A 22,023-nucleotide genomic window follows, 5' to 3' on the forward strand; every position below is an offset into this window, starting at 1 on the left:
TTTAGTTGAAATCTCACTCTGTAGCCCAGACTGGAGTGCAGTGCTGCAATCTGGGCTCACCGCAACGTCCGCCTCCCAGGTTCAAGCAATTCTTCTGCCTCAGCCTCCCGAATAGCTGGGACTACGGGCATGCGCCCAGCTAGTTTTTTGTATTTTTAGTAGAGACGGGGTTTCACATGTTGGCCAGGCTGGTCTCGAACTCCTGTAGAGTTCGCATTTTTAAAACTATATATTGTTTTTATTAGATAAAAATAACTTGCTAAAAACTGCTAACCGCAGTAAGAAGTGAAAGTTCATTGAGAGGTTGGTGTTCTCGAGGAAGGGGAAGGCGGAGACCTTGATTTCTGAGTCCCAAGAGGGGCTGCTTCCAAACTGAGCCTCCTCAGACAGGAACAGCTGCACTCGGCACCGAGTGAGAAGGTGTGGTGGAGCAGCTGCCAGGCTGTGGGCGCCGTGATCCTCCTGGTACTTCTGAAACGTAAAGAAATGCCCAGACGGTCACTACAAACATGGAATTTTGTTGGTGTTAATATCATTTTTTAGAGCAGTTTTATATCTGTAGGAAAATTGAGTAGGACGTACAGAGAGATCTGCCCTCTCCCCTGTCAGTAACACGTCACATTCGTGCAGTGCCTTTGTCTCTGCTTTTGAACCCAATATTCATATTTTAGATTTTTAAAAATCATGGACACTTCTAATACTACAGGTTCTGTCATAGTACCCGAAGTCCATAGTTCACATCATGGGGTCACTCGATGTACACTGGGCTTTGCAGAAGTGTCACGCCACACATCACCCTAAGGTCCTCTGGGCTCCACCTGTTGCCCTCTCCCAGCCTAGCTCTGCTGGCCCCGGTCTTCCTGTCCTCGTAGTTTTTCTTGTTTCAGAATGTCCCGTAGTTGGAATCATACACTATGCCCAGGGCTTGGGAGCTCATTTCCTTTTTTTTTTTGAGACGGAGTCTCGCTCTGTCGCCCAGGCTGGAGTGCAGTGGCGCGATCTCCGCTCACTGCAAGCTCCGCCTCCCGGGTTCACGCCAGTCTCCTGCCTCAGCCTCCCGAGTAGCTGGGACTACAGGGGCCTGCCACCACATCCTGCTAATTTTTTTTTTGTATTTTTAGTAGAGACGGGGTTTCACCATGTTAGCCAGGATGGTCTTGATCTCCTGACCTCGTGATCCGCAGGCCTCGGCCTCCCAAAGTGCTGGGATTACAGGCGTGAGCCACTACGCCTGGCCTTTTTTTTTTTTTTTTTTTTTTTTTTTGAGACAGTCTCGCTATGTTGTCCGGGCTGGAGTGCAGTGGCGGGAACTCGGCTCACTGCAACCTCCACCTCCCAAGGTTCAAGCGACTTTTGTGCCCCAGTCTCCTGAGTAGCTGGGATTACAGGCGTGAGCCACTGCACCCAGCCTGGCTAATTTTTGTATTTTTATTTATTTATTTATTTATTATTATTTTTTATTGATCATTCTTGGGTGTTTCTCACAGAGGGGGATTTGGCAGGGTCACAGGACAATAGTGGAGGGAAGGTCAGCGGATAAACAAGTGAACAAAGGTCTCTGGTTTTCCTAGGCAGAGGACCCTGCGGCCTTCTGCAGTGTTTGTGTCCCTGGGTACTTGAGATTAGGGAGTGGTGATGACTCTTAACGAGCATGCTGCCTTCAAGCATCTGTTTAACAAAGCACATCTTGCACCGCCCTTAATCCATTTAACCCTGAGTGGACACAGCACATGTTTCAGAGAGCACAGGGTTGGGGGTAAGGTCACAGATCAACAGGATCCCAAGGCAGAAGAATTTTTCTTAGTACAGAACAAAATGAAAAGTCTCCCATGTCTACCTCTTTCTACACAGACACGGCAACCATCTGATTTCTCAATCTTTTCCCCACCTTCCCCCCTTTGTATTCCACAAAACCGCCATTGTCATCATGGCCCGTTCTCAATGAGCTGTTGGGTACACCTCCCAGACGGGGTGGTGGCCGGGCAGAGGGGGCTCCTCACTTCCCAGTAGGGGCGGCCGGGCAGAGGCGCCCCTCACCTCCCTGACGGGGTGGCTGGCCTGGTGGGGGCTGACCCCCACCTCCCTCCAGGACGGGGTGGCTGCCGGGCGGAGACGCTCCTCACTTCCCAGACGGGGCGGTTGGCAGGCAGAGGGGCTCCTCACTTCTCAGACGGGGCAGCCGGGCAGAGACGCTCCTCGCATCCCAGACGGGGCGGCAGGGCAGAGGTGCTCCCCACATCTCAGACGATGGGCGGCCGGGCAGAGACGCTCCTCACTTTCCAGACTGGGCAGCCAGGCAGAGGGGCTCCTCACATCCCAGACGATGGGCGGCCAGGCAGAGAAGCTCCTCACTTCCCAGACGGGGTGGCGGCCGGGCAGAGGCTGCAATCTCAGCACTTTGGGGGGGCCAAGGCAGGCGGGTGGGAGGTGGAGGTTGTAGCGAGCCGAGATCACGCCACTGCACTCCAGCCTGGGCACCATTGAGCACTGAGTGAACGAGACTCCCGTCTGCAATCCCGGCGCCTCGGGAGGCGGAGGCTGGCGGATCACTCGCGGTTAGGAGCTGGAGACCAGCCCCGCCAACACAGCGAAACCCCATCTCCACCAAAAAAATAGGAAAACCAGTCAGGCGTGGCGGCGCGCGCCTGCAATCGCAGGCACTCGGCAGGCTGAGGCAGGAGAATCAGGCAGGGAGGTTGCAGTGAGCCGAGATGGCAGCAGTACCGTCCAGCTTCCGCTCGGCATCAGAGGGAGACCGTGGAAAGAGAGGGAGAGGGAGACCGTGGGGAGAGCGAGAGCGAGAGGGGGAGGGGGAGGGAGAGCGAGAGCGAGAGCGAGAGCGAGAGGGAGAGGGAGAGAGATTTTTGTATTTTTAGAGACGGGTTTTGCCACGCTGGCCAGGCTGGTCTCAAACTCCTGGCCTTAAGTGATCCGCCCTCCTGGCCTCCCAAAGCGTTAGGATTACGGGCATGAGCCACTGTGCCTGGCCTCATTTCTTTTTAGAGCTGCATAGTATTCCATTGTCTGTAGGTACCACAGTTTTTCCATTCACCTGCCGACATATCGGTTGTTTCTGCGTTTGGGCAGTGGTAAATAAAGCTGCTGTAAAGGTCCTTGTGCCAGAGCCAGGTGGTGAGGGTGGGCCCAGGGGAAGCCATGGCAGTACAGGAAGGACCTCATCCCTGCACACACTGGCCATGTGGGGGCGGGGCTCCAAGCCAGGGGGACCAGGCCTTGGTGCCCACACTGCCACAGAACTGTGGCCCCCCTGGGTGCCTGTCCAAACCCCCCCGCCTCAGTCCTGGAGCCTGGGCTGGTGGAGGGGTGCCCTCCTGGGGGGTCACTTATACAGCTGAGCCACCCTCCCAGCTGGACAATTGCATCTCCCTCCTGCCTCCCCTTCCTGCCTCGGCCACCAGCTCCTCACAAGCCACTCGCAGCCCACTGAGTGCCCCTTGGGAAGGGGTGTCAGATTGGATCCCTGGGGCTCCCATCTCACTCATAGCCAATGCCAAGTCCTCGGTGGCCCACGAGGCCCCACACAACCTGGCCCCGGACCCCTTGGTCCTCTTTTCCTATCAGTCCCTCCAGTCATCACGCAGCCCTGTGGTTTCTCTACCTGCATACTCCAGGTGGGCACAGTGCCCCGGCCCCACTGAGTCCTCACCTGTAGGAGAAGGCACAGCCCCTGGAGGGCGGGAGTGGGGCTGCTGCAGACGGCTGTCTCCTGCCTCCTGGCTCTTGCACTGCCAGGAACACGCTCTCCCCAACACCTCCATGGCTCATTCCCCAAATTCAAGCTTGTAGTTGGTTGAATTGTGGCCCCAGAGATGGGATTAAGGATTTTGAGATTATGCCAGATTATCTGCGCGGGCCCAGGATCATATGAGTTTGTCTAAGGGAAAGCAGGAGACAGGAGGGCAAGCTTGGGAGAGGAGGCAAGGAAGTGGTGGGCGCGGTGGCCACACCTGGAATCCTAGCACTTCGGGAGGGGAGGCGGGAGGATCGCTTGAGCTCAGCAGTTCGAGATCTGCCTGGGCAACATAGTGGGCCGGTCTCTTAAAAAAAAAAAAAAAAAAAGGCCGGGCGCGTGGCTCACGCTTGTAATCCCAGCACTTTGGGAGGCCGAGGAAGGCGGATCACGAGGTCAGGATATCGAGACCATCCTGGCCAACATGGTGAAACCCTGTCTCTACTAAAATACAAAAAAATTAACCGGGCGTGGTGGCGCGCGCCTGTAGTCCCAGCTACTCCGGAAGCTGAGACGGGAGAATCGCTTGAGCCCGGGAGGTGGAGATTCCGAGCCGAGATCGCGCCACTGCACTCCAGCCTGGCGAAAGAGCAAGACTCTGTCCCCCGCCCCCCAAACAAAACAAAACAAAACAAAAAAGAGTGGCTACTTTTCAGGAGACCGCATCTCTATAAAAAATAAGAAAAAATTAGCTGAGCGTGGTGGGGCGCGCCTGCGAGGACCGCTGGAGCCCGGAGGCGGAGGCTGCGGTGAGCCGTGACCCCTCTACCGTGCGGGTGAAGGGCAGGGCGGAGCCGCCCCTGCGCCCCAGCGTCTGTGGAACGGGGACGGGGAGCGGGGCTGGGGCCACACGAGGGCCGCACAGGGTGGGTGCCACTGAGGGTCTGGGGGCCGAGCCCGTGGGAGCGGACCCGGCAACGGAGAGGAGCGGGGCCAGCGTGGGCTCAGCGCTTCCCCTGCTCCGCTGGGCGGGCGACAGCACCCGGGAGGCGGCGGCGGAGCGACCAGTCGCGCGGCCGCGGTGCTGGATGCAGGAGGGCCTGGTGCCCCGCCCTCAACACCCTAATCCCCGCCCCACCCCACCCCCACCCCCTAGTCTCCGCCCCCATCACCCCCTCCGTCTCTGTCCCCGCCCTGCCTCTTCTCCCGAATTAGTTTTGTCCGCGCTCGGCCGCCGTGCAGTCGGTCGTTCCACTTCCGCCTTCGCCCACGTGGTCCGGCTCCGGCTCAGTCAGCCGCGTCGCGAATGGGGCAGGAGCGAGCCTCTCTGGTCCCGACGCGGGTGGCCCGGGTCTCCTCGACTCCTGAGGAAAGCCCACCGGGCGGGGCGGGAGGTGAAGAGGCTGGGGAAGTCAGAGGTTAACCTGGGCGTCAGGGGACGTTGGAGTTGATCCGTCAGGGTCCCGGGGCGGTCTGGGGGCAGTAGAGACGGGGCTTGGGCGCGGGGCCTGAGAGGTCAGGGGTCAGCAGGAGTGAGGCTGGGGCGTCCAGGTCCGAGAGGTCAGGGGTCAGCTGGAGAGGGGCTGGGGCGCCGGTTTCCCGGAGGTCAGGGGTCAGAAGGAACAGGGCTGCAGCGTCAGGGTCCGAGAGGTTAGGGGTCGGCAGAGGCGGAGCTGGGGCACTGGGGGTCAGGGGTCGGGGATCAGGGCGGGGTCGGGTGCACTGGTAGCCTGCGCATGGGCCTCCAGCTTCGCGCGCTGTTGGGAGCCTTCGGACGGTGGACCCTGCGCCTGGGACCGCGTCCGTCCTGGTAATGACCGCGACGCCGGGCGACCCCGCTATGCCCGCCCAGCCCAGCCCACCCCAGTCCACCCCGCGCGGTGCCGAGCGGGCCCCCGCTCACGCCGCCCTTCTCCGCAGCTCGCCGCGCATGGCCGGGAACGCGGAGCCGCCGCCCGCCGGAGCCGCATGCCCCCAGGACCGGAGGTCCTGCAGCGGCCGGGCCGGGGGCGACCGCGTCTGGGAGGACGGAGAACATCCGGCGAAGAAGCTCAAGAGCGGTGGCGACGAGGAGCGGCGCGAGAAGCCGCCCAAGCGGAAGATCGTGCTGCTCATGGCCTATTCGGGCAAGGGCTACCACGGCATGCAGGTGTGGCCGCCCGGGAAGCGGCAGGTCCCGCGGGGTTTAGGTGCAGGTGCGGCCGCCGGGGAAGCGGTGGGTCCGGCTGGGTTTAGGTGCAGGAGCGGTCGCCCAGGTAGCGGCGGGTCCGGCAGGATTTAGGTGCAGGCCCAAGCAGCTTTCACTGCTCCTGCTGCACGCGAGCTCCTGCTGCTTTCCATCAGGCCCGGCCCTGCCGCTAACCGCTGTTATCTGGGGCGGGGTTCACTTGCTGGGTGCCTGAGTCCTCATCTTTAGGATGGGAGTGCTCACAGCACCTGCTAAGTAGAGTGTGAAGATGAGCTAGGTGTACTGACGCTCGGTGCTGAGAACAGTGGACAGCTCGGGGCAGCTCAGAAGAGCCTGCTGTCGTGAGCGTTAAGGGGACAGAGAGCTAAGTATTAAAGTTGTGAGGATTCTCTCCTCAGCCCACTTCCTTTTCTGGAAGGTAGAGGGTCTGGGTACATTCAGGTAGGTGTATTTTTTTTTCTTTTTGAGGCGTGGTCTCCCTTTGTGGTCCAGGCTGGAATGCAGTGGTGCATCCACACTGCTCGCTGCAGCCTCCACCTCCTGGGCTCAAGAGATCCTCCCACCTCAGCCTCCCGAACATCGAGGGCTGTAAGTGTCCTTGACCTCACGGCCTGAATAATTTTTTTTATAATTTGCAGGAATGGTGTCTTGCTAAGTTTTTTATTATTTATAGGAATGGGGTCTCGCTGTGTTGCCCAGGCTGCTCTCCAACTCCTGGGCTCAAGCGATCCTCCTGCCTCGGCCTTCCTGTGTTGTGATTACAGGCATGAGCCACTGCGACTGGCCTCAGGTAGACATTCCTTTTGTTCCTTTTTGTAGTTACCACTGTGGCTTTGCGCAGTTCTGTGTTCTTTAAACATCTTTAAACATTTCCACAGAAGTTCATGCAGTGCGTGCAGTGTCTGACTGAAACAAAAGTTTAAGAAAATAATGCTTAACTTCGGCAGTTGTTATAACAGCTTTTATGGTGAAAGTTATAAGTAATAGATTGCTTTTTTTTTGGAGACAGAGTCTTGCTCTGTCGCCCAGGCTGGAGTGCAGTGGTGGGATTTTGGCTTACTGCAGCCTCCGCCTCCCGGGTTCCACCGATTCTTGTGCCTCAGCCTCCCGAGTAGCTGGGACTACAGGCGCTCGCCACCACGCCCATCTAGTTTTTGTATTTTTAGTAGAGACGGGGTTTCACCATGTTGGTCAGGCTGGCCTTGAACTCCTGACCTCAGAGTATCCTCCTGTCTCCGTCTCCCAAAGTGCTGGAATTACAGGGGTGAGCCACAGAGCCCGGCCAACCACTGTGCACTGCAACCTCTGCCTCCCAGATTCAAGCAATTCTCCTGCCTCAGCCTCCTGAGTCACTGGGATTAAAAGCATACCTAATTATTTATTTATTTATTTATTTTTGAGACAGAGTTTTCCTCTGTCACCTAGGCTGGAGTGCAGTGGTACATTATCAGTTCACTGCAACCTCCACTTCCCAGGTTCAAGCGATTCTCCTGCCTCAAGAGCCCGGCACCACGCCCGGCTAATTTTTGTATTTTTAGTAGAGACAGAGTTTCACCATGTTGGCCAGACTGGTCTCGAACTCCTGATCTCAAGTGATCCACCCTCCTCGGCCTCCCAAAGTGCTGGGATTACAGGTGTGAGCCACTGCACCTGGCCATAGATTACTTTATAGTCAATGTTTTTTTTTTAAAGTATAGGTAGCACCCACGGCACTGATTTTGTAACTGACAGATTGTGGAAGTAGGTGTATGCACAGGTTCAATCAAACCTGTGTTTTGATTCCATTCCACACTACCCACCCCCTAGCATGGAGCAGCCCGGCCCCAGGGTGAGTGAGCAGAAAACAGTGTTTTCACATGAGCGTGGCAGCTCACACTTGTAATCTCAGCACTTCAGGAGGCCAGAGGAGTAAGCGGCCAGGAGTTCGAGACCAGCCTGGGCAACATCATGGCGACCTCTGTCTGCAAAATATAAAATCTGTTTTTGTCTCCTTTTTCCAGAGGAATGTCGGGTCCTCACAATTCAAAACAATTGAAGATGACTTGGTGTCCGCCCTCGTCCGGTCAGGCTGTATTCCTGAAAATCATGGTGAGGACATGAGGAAAATGTCCTTCCAGCGCTGCGCCCGGACAGACAAGGTGGGTGGTGGCCTTCTCTGCCCCTCCCCCGCTGCTATGAGCAGCACGTGGCCCACTTTCCAGCTCAGTGTTCTGGCTTGTTATGCTGTTTCTGAGCACATAATGATGTACAAATCAAACTAGCCTACGCCTTATGTAGGTGAGACGTCCAGGAGCCTGGTCGGCTCAGGTATAGCTGGATCTAGATGCTCCCTGCCAGTGGGACTCTGTGTTCTCTCTGGTCTTTGCTTTCTCTTGTGTTGATTCTGTTCTCAGGGACACACATTCTTGCAGGTGGCACAGTGGCGGCCGCAATGTCTGCTTTCGACCCTCCAATCAGGCTCACTCTGAGGCAGATGTAATTGTGTGGCTGCAAAGGCAGAGAGCCACACTTGTATGATGCAACATTCTCTTTTCTTTCCTTTTTTAGAGTCAGGATCTCATTCTGTTGCCCAGGCTGGAGTGCAGTGGCATGATCATGGCTCACTGCAGTCTCAAACTGCTGGGCTCAAGCAATCCTCCTGCCTCAGCCTCCCGAGTAGGTGGGTGTATTAGTCTGTTGTCACACTGTTATAAAGAACTGCTCAAGATTGGGCAGTTTATAAAGAAAAGAGGTTGAATTGACTCAGTTCCACATGGCTGGGGAGGCCTCAGGAAACAGATCATGGCGGCAGGTGCGAGAGAGTGAGGAGGGTAAGGGGAAGAGCCCCTTGTAAACCATCAGATCTTGGGAGAACTCACTCACTATCACGAGAACAGCATGGGGGAAGCCGGGCCCATGATCCAGTCACCTCCCACCAGGTCTTCCCTAGACACTTGGGGATTACCTTCAACATGAGATTTGGCGGGGACACAGCAAAACCGTATCACTGGAATGACAGGCACTCCACCATGCCTGGCTAAATTTTTTTTTTTTTTTTTTTTTAATATGGGGTCTTGCTGTGTTGCTCAGGGGTCTCAAACTCCTGGGCTCCAGTCATCTTCCCACCTTGGCGTCCCAAAGTACTGGGATTTACAGGCATGAACCGCCACATCTGGCTTGAAATTAATAAATAATTCACTGTATTATAAACTGAGTATATTCAGGATATCCTCATTTCGGCGTGTAATCCATATAAAAATCTCTTCATGGGATAAATGTAATACTGTTTTTGTGTGTATGCTAAGTCCACACTCATCACAAATCCACCACCCTGGACCTGTTTTGTGGTCTCAGCTGCATGGGGCTGGTGACCCAGCACTGTTCCTTCAGAACCACAAGGCTGAGTACTCCTGTTTGCGATTGGTTTTCACGTCCACCCTGGACGCTGCTGCTGGCCTGTGTGGAAGCACATGCCAAGTGGTCCTGTGACGCCACATTCCTGTGCTTGGGACTGAACCATGGGATTGGGTGTGCACAGAGTGGCCCGCCACAGGGAATGGGGATGTCTCTAAGGAGGGACCCAGTGTAGGGTCCAGCCCTACAGGGCCTGTGGGTTTTCTCTTCATGTGCGGAGACAAGAGATCGTAGAAAAATAAAGATACGAGACAAAGAGATAGAAGGAAAGACAGCTGGGTCCAGGGGACCACTACCACCAATGGGCCGAACCTGATAGTGGCCCCAAATGCCTGGACGCACTGCTATTTATTGTATACAAGGCAAGGGGACAGGGTAAGGAGCGTGTGTCATCTCAAGTGATTGATAAGGTCACGCGAGTGACATGTCCACCGGACAGGGGTCCTTTCCCTTTGTGGTAGGTGAGGCGGAGAGGAAGGACAGCATACGTCAGCATTTCTTCTATGCACTTATCAGAAAGATCAAAGACTTTAATACTTTCACTAATTGTGCTACTGCTATCTTCTAAGAACTGAAAAGCAGGAGCCAGGTGTGCAGGTGGAGCATGAAAGTGGACAAGGAGCGTGACCGTTGAAGCACCACAGGGAGCTGTTTAAGCCCGCTGATGACTGCGGGCAGGCCTGGGTAATGTCAGGCCTCCCACAAGAGGTGGTGGAGCAGAGTGTTCTCTGACTACCCTGGGGAGAGGGAGACTCCCTTTGCCGGTCTGTGAAGTAACAGGTGCCTTCCCAGGCACTGGCGCTACCAGTAGTCCGGGGAGCCTTCAAGCGACCCTTATCTGGGCGTGACAGGGGGCTCACACCCTTGTCTTCTGGTCACCTCTCACAGTGTCCTTCAGCTCCTGACTCTATGGCCTGATTTTTCCTAGGTTATAATTATAGAACAGAGATTATTATAATAGTAAAGAGTAATACTACAAACTAATGATTGATAATATTGGTATATAATTATATCTATATCCTATTTCTAGTATAACTTTTCTTACTCTAATTATTTTCTTTATTACACTGGAACAGCTCGTGCCTTCAGTCTCTTGCCTCGGCACCTGGGTGGCTTACCGCCCACAACCCAACGTTTGGCAGACGGGGACAGCAGAGCCGGAGAGAACAGATAGCTTTTCTGTAGCACGTATGAGGCATCAGTGAACGTGATACCTGTCATCCTTGCTCTTCCGAGTGCCTGGCTCTGTCACATGGCTCTCAGGCTGCCTGAAGGCATTAGGGGCCTATCAGAGACATAACTTTTTGCCGGTCAGGATCCTCCGGGAATCTGAATAAAGCTATGGCTCTTTTTCCCACAAATGCCTAGTTTCAAAAGGCACACAGATCCCTGGGGATCCATGGATGCATTCTGGAGCCGTCGTACAGAGGGGAGAACACAAAGAGGGATCCACAAGTTCACTCCTAGTGGGTGAGAACACAAAGAGGGATCCACAAGTTCACTCCTAGTGGGTGAGAACACAAAGAGGGATCCACAAGTTCACTCCTAGTGGGTGAGAACACAAAGAGGGATCCACAAGTTCACTCCTAGTGGGTGAGAACACAAAGAGGGATCCACAAGTTCACTCCTAGTGGGTGGGGGTGATGCATCTGTGGCTCAAGGTAGAGAGTTCTGTGGGTCTTAACTATTTTCATTTTCTTTTTGATTCTTCCATTTACAGCTCTCTGGTTGTTTTCAGGGAAGAAAAGTAACAATTTGTCCAAGCTGATGAAGAGAGCATTTCAAAATAGGGTCCTTGTATTTATTTTTATTTCTGCTGTTATTAGAGAGATGGTTTCATTCTAATACGTTTTCTCACTTGTATGGGGAAACCTGCAGAAGTAAATCCATTAGGCCGGCACGGTCACACCCGAGTGCCCTGCCCTTCAGATGAAAACACAGTAACAGTTTAACATTTTTGTTATTTATTTATTCATTTATTTTTGAGACGGAGTTTCACTCTTGTTGCCCAGGCTGGAGTGCAATGGCGTGATCTTGGCTCACCGCAACCTCACCTCCTGGGTTCGAGCCATTCTCCTGCCTCAGCCTCCCGAGTAGCTGGGAATACAGGCATGCGTCACCACGCCCGGCTGATTTTGTATTTTTAGTAGAGATGGGGTTTCTCCATGTTGATCAGGCTGGTCTCGAACTCCTGACCTTAGGTGATCTGCCTGCCTCGGCCTCCCAAAGTGCTGGGATTACAGGTGTGAGCCCCCGTGCCCGGCCTATTGTTTATTTTTGTGTGTGTGTATTTCTGCTGTTTAACATTCTGTTTTTGTTTCAGATTTTAAAAATAGCTTTATTGAAATATAATTCACTTTTGGACGGGCGTGGTGGCTCACGCCTGTAATTCCAGCACTTTGGGAGTCCAAGGCGGGCGGATCACTTGAGGTCAGGAATTCAAGACCAGTCTGGCCAACATGGTGAAACCCCGTCTCTACTAAAGATACAAAAATTAGCCGGGTGTGTTGGTGGATGCCTGTAATCCCAGCTACTCAGGAGGCCGAGGCAGGAGAATTGCGTGAACCTGGGAGGCGGAGGTTGAAGTAAGCTGAGATGGTGCCACTGCACTGCAGCCCGGGTGACAGAGTGAGACTCCATCTCAAAAAAAAAAAAGCAAAAAAGGAAATATAATTCACTCTTGTACAATTGACCCATTGAAAGTGTACAGTTCGGGCTGGGCGCGGGGGCTTAGCCTGGAATCCCAGCACTGTGGGAGGCCGAGGTGGGCGGATCACCTGAGGTCAGGAGTTCAAGACCAGCCTGGTCAATATGGCGAAACCCCGTCTCTACTAAAAATACAAAAATTAGCCAGGTGTGGTGGTGCACGCCTGTAATCCCAGCTACTCAGTAGGCTGAGGCAGGAGAATCGTTTGAATCCGAGAGGTGGAGGTTGCAGTGAGCTGAGATCGTGCCATTGTACTCCAGCCTGGGCAACAAGAGTGAAACTCCGTCTCAAAAAACAAAACAAAACAAAAGAAACAAAAAGTGTGCGGTTCAAGCTGGGTGTGGTGGCTCACGCCTGTAATCCCAACACTTTGGGAGGCCAAAGTGGACGGATCACTTGAGGCCAGGAGTTCGAGACCAGCCTGGCCAACATGACAAAATCCCATCTCTACTAAAGATACAAAAATTAGCAAGGCATGGTGGCTTACACCTGTAATCCCAGCTACCTGGGAGGCTGAGGCAGGAGAATCTCTTGAATACAGAAGACGAAGGTGGCAGGGAGTCGAGGTTGCGTCACTGAGCTCCAGCCTGGCAAAAAAAAAAAAAAGTATACAGTTTAGTGATTCCAGTATATTCACAGAGCTGTGCAGCCATCACCACAGCCAGACATAGGACACCCCAGAGGTACCAGGTGTCCCTCAGCTGTTGACCCCCCAGGATGTCTCGAGTGTTCTCACTTCAGCTTCTACAGAGTGGTTGGCAATGAGATGTATTTTCTTTCCCTTTTTTGGTGCTAAGTCTTTGAAATCTGTTGTATATTTACCTAAAGTCATCTTGTTTCAGAACATCTCGTTTCATTCTGCCACGTTCCATGTGTGGATCTGGCCAGTGTAACATCTCAACAGTTTATTTTACTCTTTCCAACTTTTTATTTTGAAAATTTCATACCTTCATAAAAGTCTTAAGAATAATGCCATGATTCTTAATAATGCCACATGATTCTTATGTGGGTGCCATGAGCACCCACATAGTCTTCCCAGATTCACCAAGGTTAGGTTTTTACCATATTATCATAGTTGTGTGTGGTTTTTTTAAAAATTCATTTTATTTTATTTTTTGAGATGGAGTTTCACTCTTGTTGCCCAGGTTGGAGTGCAATTGCACGATCTCAACTCACTGCAACCTCCACCTCCCGGGTTCAAGTGATTCTCCTGCCTCAGCCTCCCGAGTAGCTGGGATTACAGGCACCTGCCACCACTCCCAGCTAATTTTTTGTATTTTTAGTAAAAATGGGATTTCACCATGTTGGTAAGGCTAGTCTCGAACTCCCGACTTCAGGCGATCCGCCTGCCCCGGCTTCCCAAAGTGCTGGGATTACAGGCATGAACCACCGCACTCCGCCCGTTTTTTTGTTTGTTTTTGCTTTCTTTTTATTTATCTTTTTTTTACCTTTTTTGAGACAGAGTCTTGCTCTGTTGCCCAGGCTGGTCTTGAACTCTTGGGCTCAAGCAATCTTCCTACCTTAGCCTCCCAAAGTACTGGGATTATGAATGAGAGCCACTGTGCTTGGCCTTTTCTATCTTAAAATGGAACCATTTGAGAGTAAGTTGGAGACATCATCATCCTTTACCCTGAAACATCTTAGCATGAGTCTCCAAGGGACTGTGACATCCTTCAGCAACCTCACTCTATCAACCTGATAGAGTACCATCATCTAACATGTCCAAAGTAGGAAACTCTCTTTTCTGTTTTCTTTTTCTTTTCTTCAGCTTCTTTGATGTGGCATGCCTTTTATTTTTGTTAACTGGTCTGGGATCTAATCTAGGATCATTAGTGGCATTCAGTTGTCATGTCTCTTGAGCTTCCTTTAATCGAAAACGATCTCCTTGGCCGGGCATCGTTGCTTACACCTGTAATCCCAGCACTTTATGAGACTGAGGTGGGAGGATCACTTGAGGCCAGGAGTTCGAGACCAGTCTGGGCAACATAGCAAGACCCTGTCTCTACAAAAAAAATTGAAAACTAGCCAGGCATCGTGGTGCCTGTCTGTAGTCTCAGCTACTTGGGAGGCTGGGGTGGGAGGATTGCTCAAACCTGGGAGGTCAAGGTTGCTGTAAGCCAAGATCGGCACCACTGCACTCCAACCTGGGTGACAGACCAAAACCTTGTCTCAAAAAGAACCCAACAAAAAATCTATAGAAACTTACTTTTAAAAAGAGGTGAAATAAACAAACAGTAAAGTGTGCGAGTCTTAAGTGTAAACTTGATCAGTTTTTATCTGTGTACCTACCTGTGTACGCACTGCCTGTCCTCAGAAGGCCCCTCCCTTTCCTCCAGGGCCACTGCAGTTCTGACTCAGGTGGGGACCCCTTCCTCACTCTGCTCTTGGTTCTAAGTTGTGTTTTCTCTTTTCCCCAATCTTTGGGAGTCATATTTTCATATCTTTTTTTTTTTTTTTTTTCCTTTGAGGTGGAGTCTGGCTCTGTCACCCAGGCTGGAGTGCAGTGGCACGATCTCAGCTCACTGGAAGCTCCGCCTCCCGGGTTCACGCCATTCTCCTGCCTCAGCCTCCCAAGTAGCTGGGACTACAGGCGCCTGTCACCATGCCCGGCTAATTTTTTGTATTTTTAGTAGAGACTAACAATACATTTAGTAGAGACTAACATTTCATGTTAGCCAGGATAGTCTCGATCTCCTGACCTCGTGATCCACCCGCCTCGGCCTCCCAAAGTACTGGGATTACAGGCGTGAGCCACTATGCCCGGCCCTCCAGATGCATTTTTAACAGCTGAATTCATGTGTGAAATGACGTAAGGTCCGCGTAGTCCTTCTTTCTCAGAGACCAGCGTGCGAGGCCCAAGGGACCCACCTTCCGTCACCCGTTCTGCTTTGTTTACAGGGTGTGTCCGCAGCCGGCCAGGTGGTATCCCTGAAGGTGTGGCTGATTGACGACATTCTAGAAAAGATCAACAGCCACCTTCCCTCTCACATTCGGATTCTGGGTAAGCCTTGCAGTGCAGGCGGCCACACACCTGGTTGTAGATGGTCTTGCAGAGACACGAGGCTATGCATGCTCCTGCCTTTTCCAACTGTCTCTGATGCAGAAGCGTAGTCAGAGTTGCTTTGCAGCTGGTTCTGACCTTCAGAAACGGGAGCCACTAGACAGGAGTAGAAAGCTGTTCATTTGCAGTGCTTGTTGCTACACGGGCGCCTTGTTTTAAGCAAACACAGGATGTGAAAATCCAAATTCATGGTTAAAATGAACAGTTGTTCCCTCTTACGGCAGGACTGGTAAATGGAATTTTTAGGCCTCCTTAAAATGTGACTGTCTACCTTTTAAGTGGCAGGTACAGGCAACTTACATAATACATTCGTTCATTCATTTATTCTGTTTGTTTTTTGAGAGAGTCTCGCTCTGTCACCCAGGCTGGAGTGCAGTGGTGCAATCATGGCTCACTGCAGCCTCCGCCTCCCGGGTTCAAGCAGTCCTCAGCCTCCTGAGTAACTGGGACTACAGGTGTGTGCCACCACACTTCATTTTTGAGTTTGTAGAGATGGGGTCTCATTGTGTTGCCCAGGCTGGTCTTGAACTCCTGGGCTCAAGTGATCCTCCTGCCTTGGCCTCCCAGAAGCCGCTTATATTTAATGTAATGATAGGTGTGGCTGGGCGTGAATCTGTCGTCTTGCTCTCTGTTTTCTTTTCCTTTTTGTTTTGGTGTCATCCCAAGAAAACAGAACTGTTGTCTGCCTGACTGGTCTGCTTGGAGAGAAGTGTTTGAGACAGGGTCTTGTTCTGTTGCCGAGGCTGGAGTGCAGTGGTGTGATCACAGCTCACTGTAGCATCGACCACCTGGGCTCAAGGGATCCTCCCGCCTCAGCCTATAAGCTGGGACTACAGGCACACGCCACCACAGCCGGCTGAATTTTTATTTTTATTTGTAGAGATGGGGTTTCGCCATGTCGCCCAGGCTGGTCTCAAACTCCTAGGCTCAATCAGTTTACCTGCCTCAGCCTCCCAAAGTGTTGGCATTACAGGCATGAGCTGCTATGCCCAGCCCACAGCCTGATTATTTTAAGATTCATCCGTGCTGTTGTGTATGTCAGCAGTCTGTTCCTTCTCATTGCTGCGGGGTGTTCTGTTCTGTGGGTGTGCCACGGATTGTTTATACAGTTACCTGCTGAAGGACATTGGATGATTTCTAGTTTTGGGCTGTTAGAAGTAAAGCCACTAAGAACATTTACATATGAGTCATAAATAGGATTCAGTAATCCCTGTTGATTTTACCCACTGTTAAGTTTTTGTTTTTATTTTTATATTTTTTATGATGGAGTCTTGTTCTGTTGCCCAGGCTGGAGTGCAGTGGCGTGATCTCGGCTCACTGCAACCTCCACCTGCCTCCTGGGTTCAAGTGATTCTCCCACCTCAGCCTTCCCAGTAGCTGGGATTACAGGTACACGCCACCACGCCCAGCTAATTTTTGTATTTTTAGTAGAGATGGTGTTTCACCATGTTAGTCTCAAACTCCTGACCTCAGGTGATCCACCCACCTCGGCCTCCCAAAGTGCTGGGATTACAGGCATGAGCCACTGCGCCCGGCTGCTTTTATTATTTTAAATTCACACATAATTATACATACTTATGTAGAATTATGTGTGATATTTCCAGTCATGTATAAAGATCAAATAGGGCAATTAGCATAATATATCCATCACTCCAAGCATGTATCATTTCTTTGTGTTGGAGACATTCCGTATCTTCTCACTATTGGAAAATTACAATAAATGGTTGTAAATTCAGTCACCTTATAGAGCACTGCACCTGTCCCTCCTGTCCATCGTCCTCCTGTGCCTGTTCCCCAGCCTGTGGCTGCCCCCTCCCCAGAGAAGCCGATGCTTGCTGGAGCTTGGTCGGTGCTCTGGGTAAGGAGACGCTGGGGCTCACGCCGTGCTCAGGCTGCTCCCTGGTCATCCAGGCACTTCTCACCTGCCTTTCTCCTCCCTGACCACCTCCCCCCTAGGACTGAAGCGGGTCACGGGCGGGTTTAACTCCAAGAACAGATGTGATGCCAGGACCTATTGCTACCTGCTGCCCACGTTTGCCTTTGCGCACAAGGACCGGGACGTTCAGGATGAGACCTACCGCCTGAGCGCCGAGACGCTGCAGCAGGTCAACAGGCTCCTGGCCTGCTACAAGGGCACGCACAACTTCCACAATTTCACCTCGCAGAAGGGGCCGCAGGATCCCAGTGCCTGCCGCTACATCCTGGAGATGTACTGCGAGGAACCCTTTGTGCGGGAGGGCCTGGAGTTTGCGGTGATCAGGGTGAAGGGCCAGAGCTTCATGATGCATCAGATCCGGAAGATGGTCGGCCTGGTGGTGGCCATTGTGAAGGGTTATGCCCCTGAGAGCGTGCTGGAGCGCAGCTGGGGCACAGAGAAGGTGGACGTGCCCAAGGCGCCCGGACTCGGCCTGGTCCTGGAGAGGGTGCACTTCGAGAAGTACAACCAGCGCTTTGGCAACGATGGGCTGCATGAGCCGCTGGACTGGGCGCAGGAGGAAGGAAAGGTCGCAGCCTTCAAGGAGGAGCACATCTACCCCACCATCATCGGCACCGAGCGGGACGAACGCTCCATGGCCCAGTGGCTGAGCACCTTGCCCATCCACAACTTCAGTGCCACCGCTCTCACGGCAGGTGGCACGGGCGCCAAGGTAGGGGCACAGTCCCAGCAGTGCTCAGCAGAACACAGGCCCACATTGTTCCCATTGTACAGAGGAGTGAGCTGAGGCACAGAGAAGTGTGTCACTTCCCCGCAAGGCCACACAGCTGCTGCAGGAGCAGGGGCAGGCGGTCTTGAGATGTTCCTTGTCTGCATGCCTGCGCCACCCACTTGCTCCCCCACGGGGTGCTTTTCGACCCTGGGAGGGCTGTCCCAGGGTCAGGCTTGCTGCCAGCACACCTACTATGGACCTGGCATGGAGCATAATCAGCAGCTAGACAGCTGCGGAATGTAGCTTAGAACCGGAACATACAGGATTGTAGGTGCAGAAGCTAAAAGCTAAGTGAATGAAAATGTCATTCTCAGTTCTTCGCTCTGGGGTGAGAGATGTCCCCAAAGCCCGAGTTTGTTCTTTCTTTTTTTTTTGTTGTTTGAGACGAAGTCTTGTTCTGTCACCCAGGCTGGAGTGCAGTGGCGCGATCTCGGCTCACTGCAAGCTCCGCCTCCCGGGTTCACGCCATTCTCCTGCCTCAGCCTCCCGAGTAGCTGGGACTACAGGCGCCCACCACCACGCCCGGCTCATTTTTTGTATTTTTAGTAGAGATGGGGTTTCACCATGTTAGCCAGGATGGTCTTGATCTCCTGACCTTGTGATCCACCCGCCTTGGCCTCCCAAAGTGCTGGGATTACAGTCGTGAGCCACTGCGTCCGGCCAGCCTGAGTTCTTTCATGGTGGCCCAGTGAGGTTTCAAAGGGTGACATTCCCAGGCAGGGCTCAGGGAGATTCTTCCTGTCATCTAGATATCTGTGAAAAGAGAGTCCTTCCTGCATACCTGGGTGGCAGATTCAACTGTGTGCAGGCCCCAGGGAGGTAAGGTGGGCAGGCGAGGGGCCAGGCACCTGGCGAGCCGTCCTATAGATGGGGCGATGAGAGGCCCCCAGCCCAGGGACGGCAGGGAGTTGGGGGGCCAGCGGTGGCCAGGAGCCTCGTTTCATCTGAAGGGGGTACTCGTGGCTCAGTGGCAGCTGGTGGTGGCCATGTTGGAATGTGACAGTGACCGTATGCTTAAATGTTATCAAGGGAAACCAGCGTTGCATACTGGTATGGGAAATCTCTTTTTTAAGTGCTGGTAGTTAATTTTTCCCAAGCCCGGTGCAGGCTAAATACAGCGCAGGTGCTGATTTGGCCTGGGCCAGACTGGACTGCTGTGGACTCCACTGATGAGAGGCATATATACTTCCGAGGCACCTGCATTTGTTGAGTTTCCAAATGGCCCCATTTTATTTTCCCCTGTGGTCAGTGCGACCTGTGAGGATGTGAAGGAGCCCAACAAAGGCCCCTCTAGTGTCCCCAGCCCTTGGCTTTCCCTGCACAGGTTCCTGACCTGGTTAAGAGAATGACCGAGAACAAACACCAGACTCTGCTCCTGATGAGGGAGTGGTGGGGGCAAGGCTCCTGTGCCAAGCCTGTCATGGGCCCCTGTGGGCATCCAGGAGCAGTGGAGAGAGTGCTTGCCTCTTATTCTCCATGTGGTCTTCTTCTGCAGGTGCCCAGTCCCCTGGAAGGCAGTGAAGGGGACGGAGACACTGACTGAGGCGATGGGAGCTGCCCACCAGAGTGCCTCTGAGCAGCTCACAGTGTGTGCCCAGATGTGCCACCCCTGTGGGCAGCAAGAAGCTGGGATCGCTGCAGCCATGTTTTCCCGGCCATGCCGGCGTTGTAACCTCAGGACCTTCCCTTGTAGGAACAGCCTTTCTCGAATCTGTTTTCAGCTCTTGCATTGCATAGATGAACCTCAGCATGTAAAGAACTATTTTTTTAAAGAAGTGATTTTCTTATTAAACAAGTACAAATTTTGCTTAGTCAATCCTTGGTTTGCCTTTTTCTTAGTCTTTTTTAACATTTTTTTCGTCCACAGAGATGAGCACAGCATGGTGTCCCGTTGAGAACAGATACGGCTGAACAAAAGAGAAAGGCCCAGGAGGTTGGCTCAGCCTGTAATCCCAGCACTTGGGAGGCTGAGGTGGGCAGATCGCTTGAGTACAGGAGTTCCAGACCAGCCTGGGTAAAATGGTGAAACCGCGTCTCTGCAAAAGATTAGCTGGGCATGGCGGCATGCCCTGTAGTTCAGCTGCTCAGGAGGCTGAGGTGGGAGGATTGCCTGAGTCTGGAGAAGTCGAGGCTGCCCTGATTGCCACTGCACTCAAAAAAAAAAAAAACAACAACAACCAAAAAAACTGGCCAGGCGTGGTGGCTCATGCCTGTAATCCCAACACTTCGGGAGGCTGAGGCAGGTGGATTACTTGAGGTCGGGAGTTTGAGACCAGCCTGACCAGCATGGAGAAACCCCGTCTCTACTAAAAATACAAAAATTAGCTGGGCGCGATGGTGGGCGCCTGTAATCCCAGCTACTTGGGAGGCTGAGGCAGGAGAATCGCTTGAACCTGGGAGGTGGAGATTGCAGTGAGCCAAGATTGCGCCACTGCACTCCAGCCTGGGTGAGAGAGCCAAACTCCGTCAAAAAAAAAACAACAAAAAAACCCAGCATCCTGCACTCTGCAGGGTGGTCCCGAGGCAGGGCTGTGGAGGGCACTGAAGCAGGGGCCCCGCTGACCTGCCGCATCCCCGAGAGGGGTGGCAGCCACGGGCTCCTCTTCCTAGACAGCCCCATGCGTGCAGCCTTTGCCCTGGTTGCAGGTCGGTACTCGCCTCAGCACTGTCCCGGTGCCAGGCAGGTGGGGGTTGGGGCAGAGGGCAGAAGGAAAGGGTGCATCGCGGAACAGGCCCTTAGTGGAGCTTACTGGAAGACCCCACCAGCCGCTGCTGCACGTCATTGGTCACAGGTGCATCCAGCGGCCCTTCGTAGCTGCAAGGGAGGCTGGGGAAGACTGCTTTTGAAGTGGCGCTTAGCGTGGAACAAAACACACTGCGTTAGCCAGGAGCAGGGGATCCTTGGCTGGCGGGCTGCCAGGAGCCCAGGGAGGGGCTCAGCGGAGGAAGTGCCGTGCATACACGTGGCCTCCCAGCCTGCAGCCCGTGGGCGCACGTGACCAATGCACGAGTGCCTGATGCCCCAGCGGTGCACACAACTAATGCGCATGCGCCTGACGTGCCAACAATGCATGTGACTAATGCGCAGTCGCCTGTCGCCCCAGCAGTGCGTGAGTGACATGTGCACGTGCCCATGATGCGGTGGACACCGTGTGTGAGAAGTGGGGCAGGACAGGTGGGATTGGGAGATGCTTCAGGCAGTGAGCTCCTAGGGCGTGGGGTGCCCAAGAGAGTGGAGCTGGTTTTAGGGATTTTGGCCAGAGGAGCAGTGGGGCTCACTGCTTCGGGAGCCAGGGAGTGCAGGTGTGAGGCCCACTGGGCTTTGGGTTTGAGGGATGGATGAGCTGGGCCGTTAACTGGAACGGGAGACAGGGAAAGGAATGGGTTTGGAGAACAAGCAGGAGCTTGGTTCTAAGCATGTTAATTTTACCTGGGATAGACAGGACTTTATTTTTTATTTTTATTTTGTTTGAGACGGAGTCTCGCTGTGTTGCCCAGCCTGGAGTGCAGTGGCGCGATCTCGGCTCACTGCAACCTGCGCCTCCCGGGCTCAAGCGATTCTCCTTCCTCAGCCTCCAGAGTAGCTGAGAGTACAGGTGCCCGCTGCCACGCCCGGCTGATTTTTGTATTTTTGGTAGAGACAGGGTTTCACCATGTTGGTCAGGCTGGTCTCAAACTCCTAAGCTCAGGTGATCCACCCGCCTTGGCCTCCCAAAGTGCTGGGATTACAGGCGTGAGCCACCGTGCCCGGCCTGGGTGACCCATTTAAATCACTTTTGATGATCCTGGGGTATGTGACATTTTAAAATAATATGTATATATGGAAGGAAATAAAAAACTATAAAAAAGGGAAGTTGCCTTTCATTCTCTAATTCCCAGTATCCCTGTCCAGAGGCCACTGCTCTCACTAGTGCCCTGCGGCTTCTTCTGGAGAGTTCCATGTATATATAAGCGTGCGTGAGCCTTTGCAAGGATGGTAATGCATCTCCAGCAAACACGGGATAATGTTTTCACTGCTCTGTGGTAGCCAAAAGGTTTTTCTTTCTTCTTTTTTTCTATTTTGAGACAAGGTCTTGTTCTGTCGCCCAGGCCGGAGTGCAGTGGTGCGATCATAGTTCAGTACAGCCTCCACCTCCTGGGATCAAGCTATCCTCCGGCGTCCCAAGCAACTGGGACTACAGGCGCACCACCATGCCAGGCCAATTTAAAAAAAAAAAACTGGTCAGATGCGGTGGCTCACACCTGTAATCCCAGCACTTTGGGAGGCCGAGGTGG

At 53.1% G+C, this 22,023-nt stretch overlaps 1 protein-coding gene and 1 long non-coding RNA gene across 4 annotated transcripts, besides 6 other annotated features; one reads left to right on the top strand and one right to left on the bottom strand.

The window, feature by feature from the left end:
- Window positions 39-358: an enhancer, noted in NCBI's record as "active region_7373". NCBI's record gives its function as "activates an Ori minimal core promoter by ATAC-STARR-seq in GM12878 lymphoblastoid cells {active_cell/tissue: GM12878}" and the evidence as "EXISTENCE:reporter gene assay evidence [ECO:0000049][PMID:35858748]".
- Window positions 217-4,060, bottom strand: PUS1-AS1 (PUS1 antisense RNA 1). Its single transcript, XR_001749414.2, has 2 exons — window positions 3,668-4,060; window positions 217-471 (listed from the first exon to the last, which is right to left on the bottom strand). It is a non-coding gene; the product is annotated as a PUS1 antisense RNA 1 (long non-coding RNA).
- Window positions 460-1,336: an enhancer, noted in NCBI's record as "H3K27ac hESC enhancer chr12:132409300-132410176 (GRCh37/hg19 assembly coordinates)". NCBI's record gives its function as "activates a minimal SCP1, AML or CMV promoter by ChIP-STARR-seq in naive H9 embryonic stem cells {active_cell/tissue: H9 hESC(naive)}" and the evidence as "EXISTENCE:reporter gene assay evidence [ECO:0000049][PMID:30033119]".
- Window positions 4,474-4,863: a silencer, noted in NCBI's record as "silent region_5106". NCBI's record gives its function as "represses an Ori minimal core promoter by ATAC-STARR-seq in GM12878 lymphoblastoid cells {active_cell/tissue: GM12878}" and the evidence as "EXISTENCE:reporter gene assay evidence [ECO:0000049][PMID:35858748]".
- PUS1 (pseudouridine synthase 1) lies at window positions 4,981-21,601 on the top strand. Of its 3 annotated transcripts, none has more exons than NM_025215.6 (6): window positions 4,981-5,501; window positions 5,612-5,840; window positions 7,880-8,017; window positions 14,878-14,980; window positions 16,997-17,688; window positions 19,244-21,601. In NM_025215.6, the coding sequence occupies exons 1-6, from the start codon at window positions 5,428-5,430 to the stop codon at window positions 19,289-19,291; spliced, it is 1,284 nt and encodes a 427-aa protein (NP_079491.2). In that variant the 5' UTR covers window positions 4,981-5,427; the 3' UTR covers window positions 19,292-21,601. The 3 variants fall into 3 exon arrangements, with proteins under 3 accessions (NP_079491.2, NP_001002019.1, NP_001002020.1); NM_001002019.3 differs by having other exon boundaries at window positions 4,981-5,109; NM_001002020.3 differs by having other exon boundaries at window positions 4,981-5,085.
- Window positions 5,554-5,713: a silencer, noted in NCBI's record as "silent region_5107". NCBI's record gives its function as "represses an Ori minimal core promoter by ATAC-STARR-seq in GM12878 lymphoblastoid cells {active_cell/tissue: GM12878}" and the evidence as "EXISTENCE:reporter gene assay evidence [ECO:0000049][PMID:35858748]".
- Window positions 7,888-8,057: an enhancer, noted in NCBI's record as "experimental_25941 CRE fragment used in MPRA reporter constructs". NCBI's record gives its function as "activates a minimal promoter by MPRAs in K562 erythroleukemia cells, with activity observed for both the introgressed and non-introgressed 12:132416813 variant alleles {active_cell/tissue: K562}" and the evidence as "EXISTENCE:reporter gene assay evidence [ECO:0000049][PMID:34662402]".
- Window positions 20,309-20,603: a silencer, noted in NCBI's record as "tiled region #9670; HepG2 Repressive non-DNase unmatched - State 17:Gen3', and K562 Repressive non-DNase unmatched - State 14:Gen5'". NCBI's record gives its function as "represses a minimal TATA promoter and a strong SV40 promoter by Sharpr-MPRA in HepG2 and K562 cells {active_cell/tissue: HepG2 | K562}" and the evidence as "EXISTENCE:reporter gene assay evidence [ECO:0000049][PMID:27701403]".

Source organism: Homo sapiens, chromosome 12, assembly GCF_000001405.40.
Source record: "Homo sapiens chromosome 12, GRCh38.p14 Primary Assembly".
NCBI classification, from domain to species: Eukaryota; Metazoa; Chordata; class Mammalia; order Primates; family Hominidae; genus Homo; species Homo sapiens.

What these genes read in the sequence shown, in the direction of transcription:
- PUS1 (NM_025215.6), top strand. Translation starts at nt 5,428, where the DNA reads ATGGGCCTCCAGCTTCGCGCGCTGTTGGGAGCCTTCGGACGGTGGACC. An exon ending in AGGGCTACCACGGCATGCAG is followed by an intron (nt 5,841 to 7,879) that starts GTGTGGCCGCCC and finishes TCCTTTTTCCAG; the next exon opens with AGGAATGTCGGGTCCTCACA. An exon ending in GCTGCGCCCGGACAGACAAG is followed by an intron (nt 8,018 to 14,877) that starts GTGGGTGGTGGC and finishes CTTTGTTTACAG; the next exon opens with GGTGTGTCCGCAGCCGGCCA.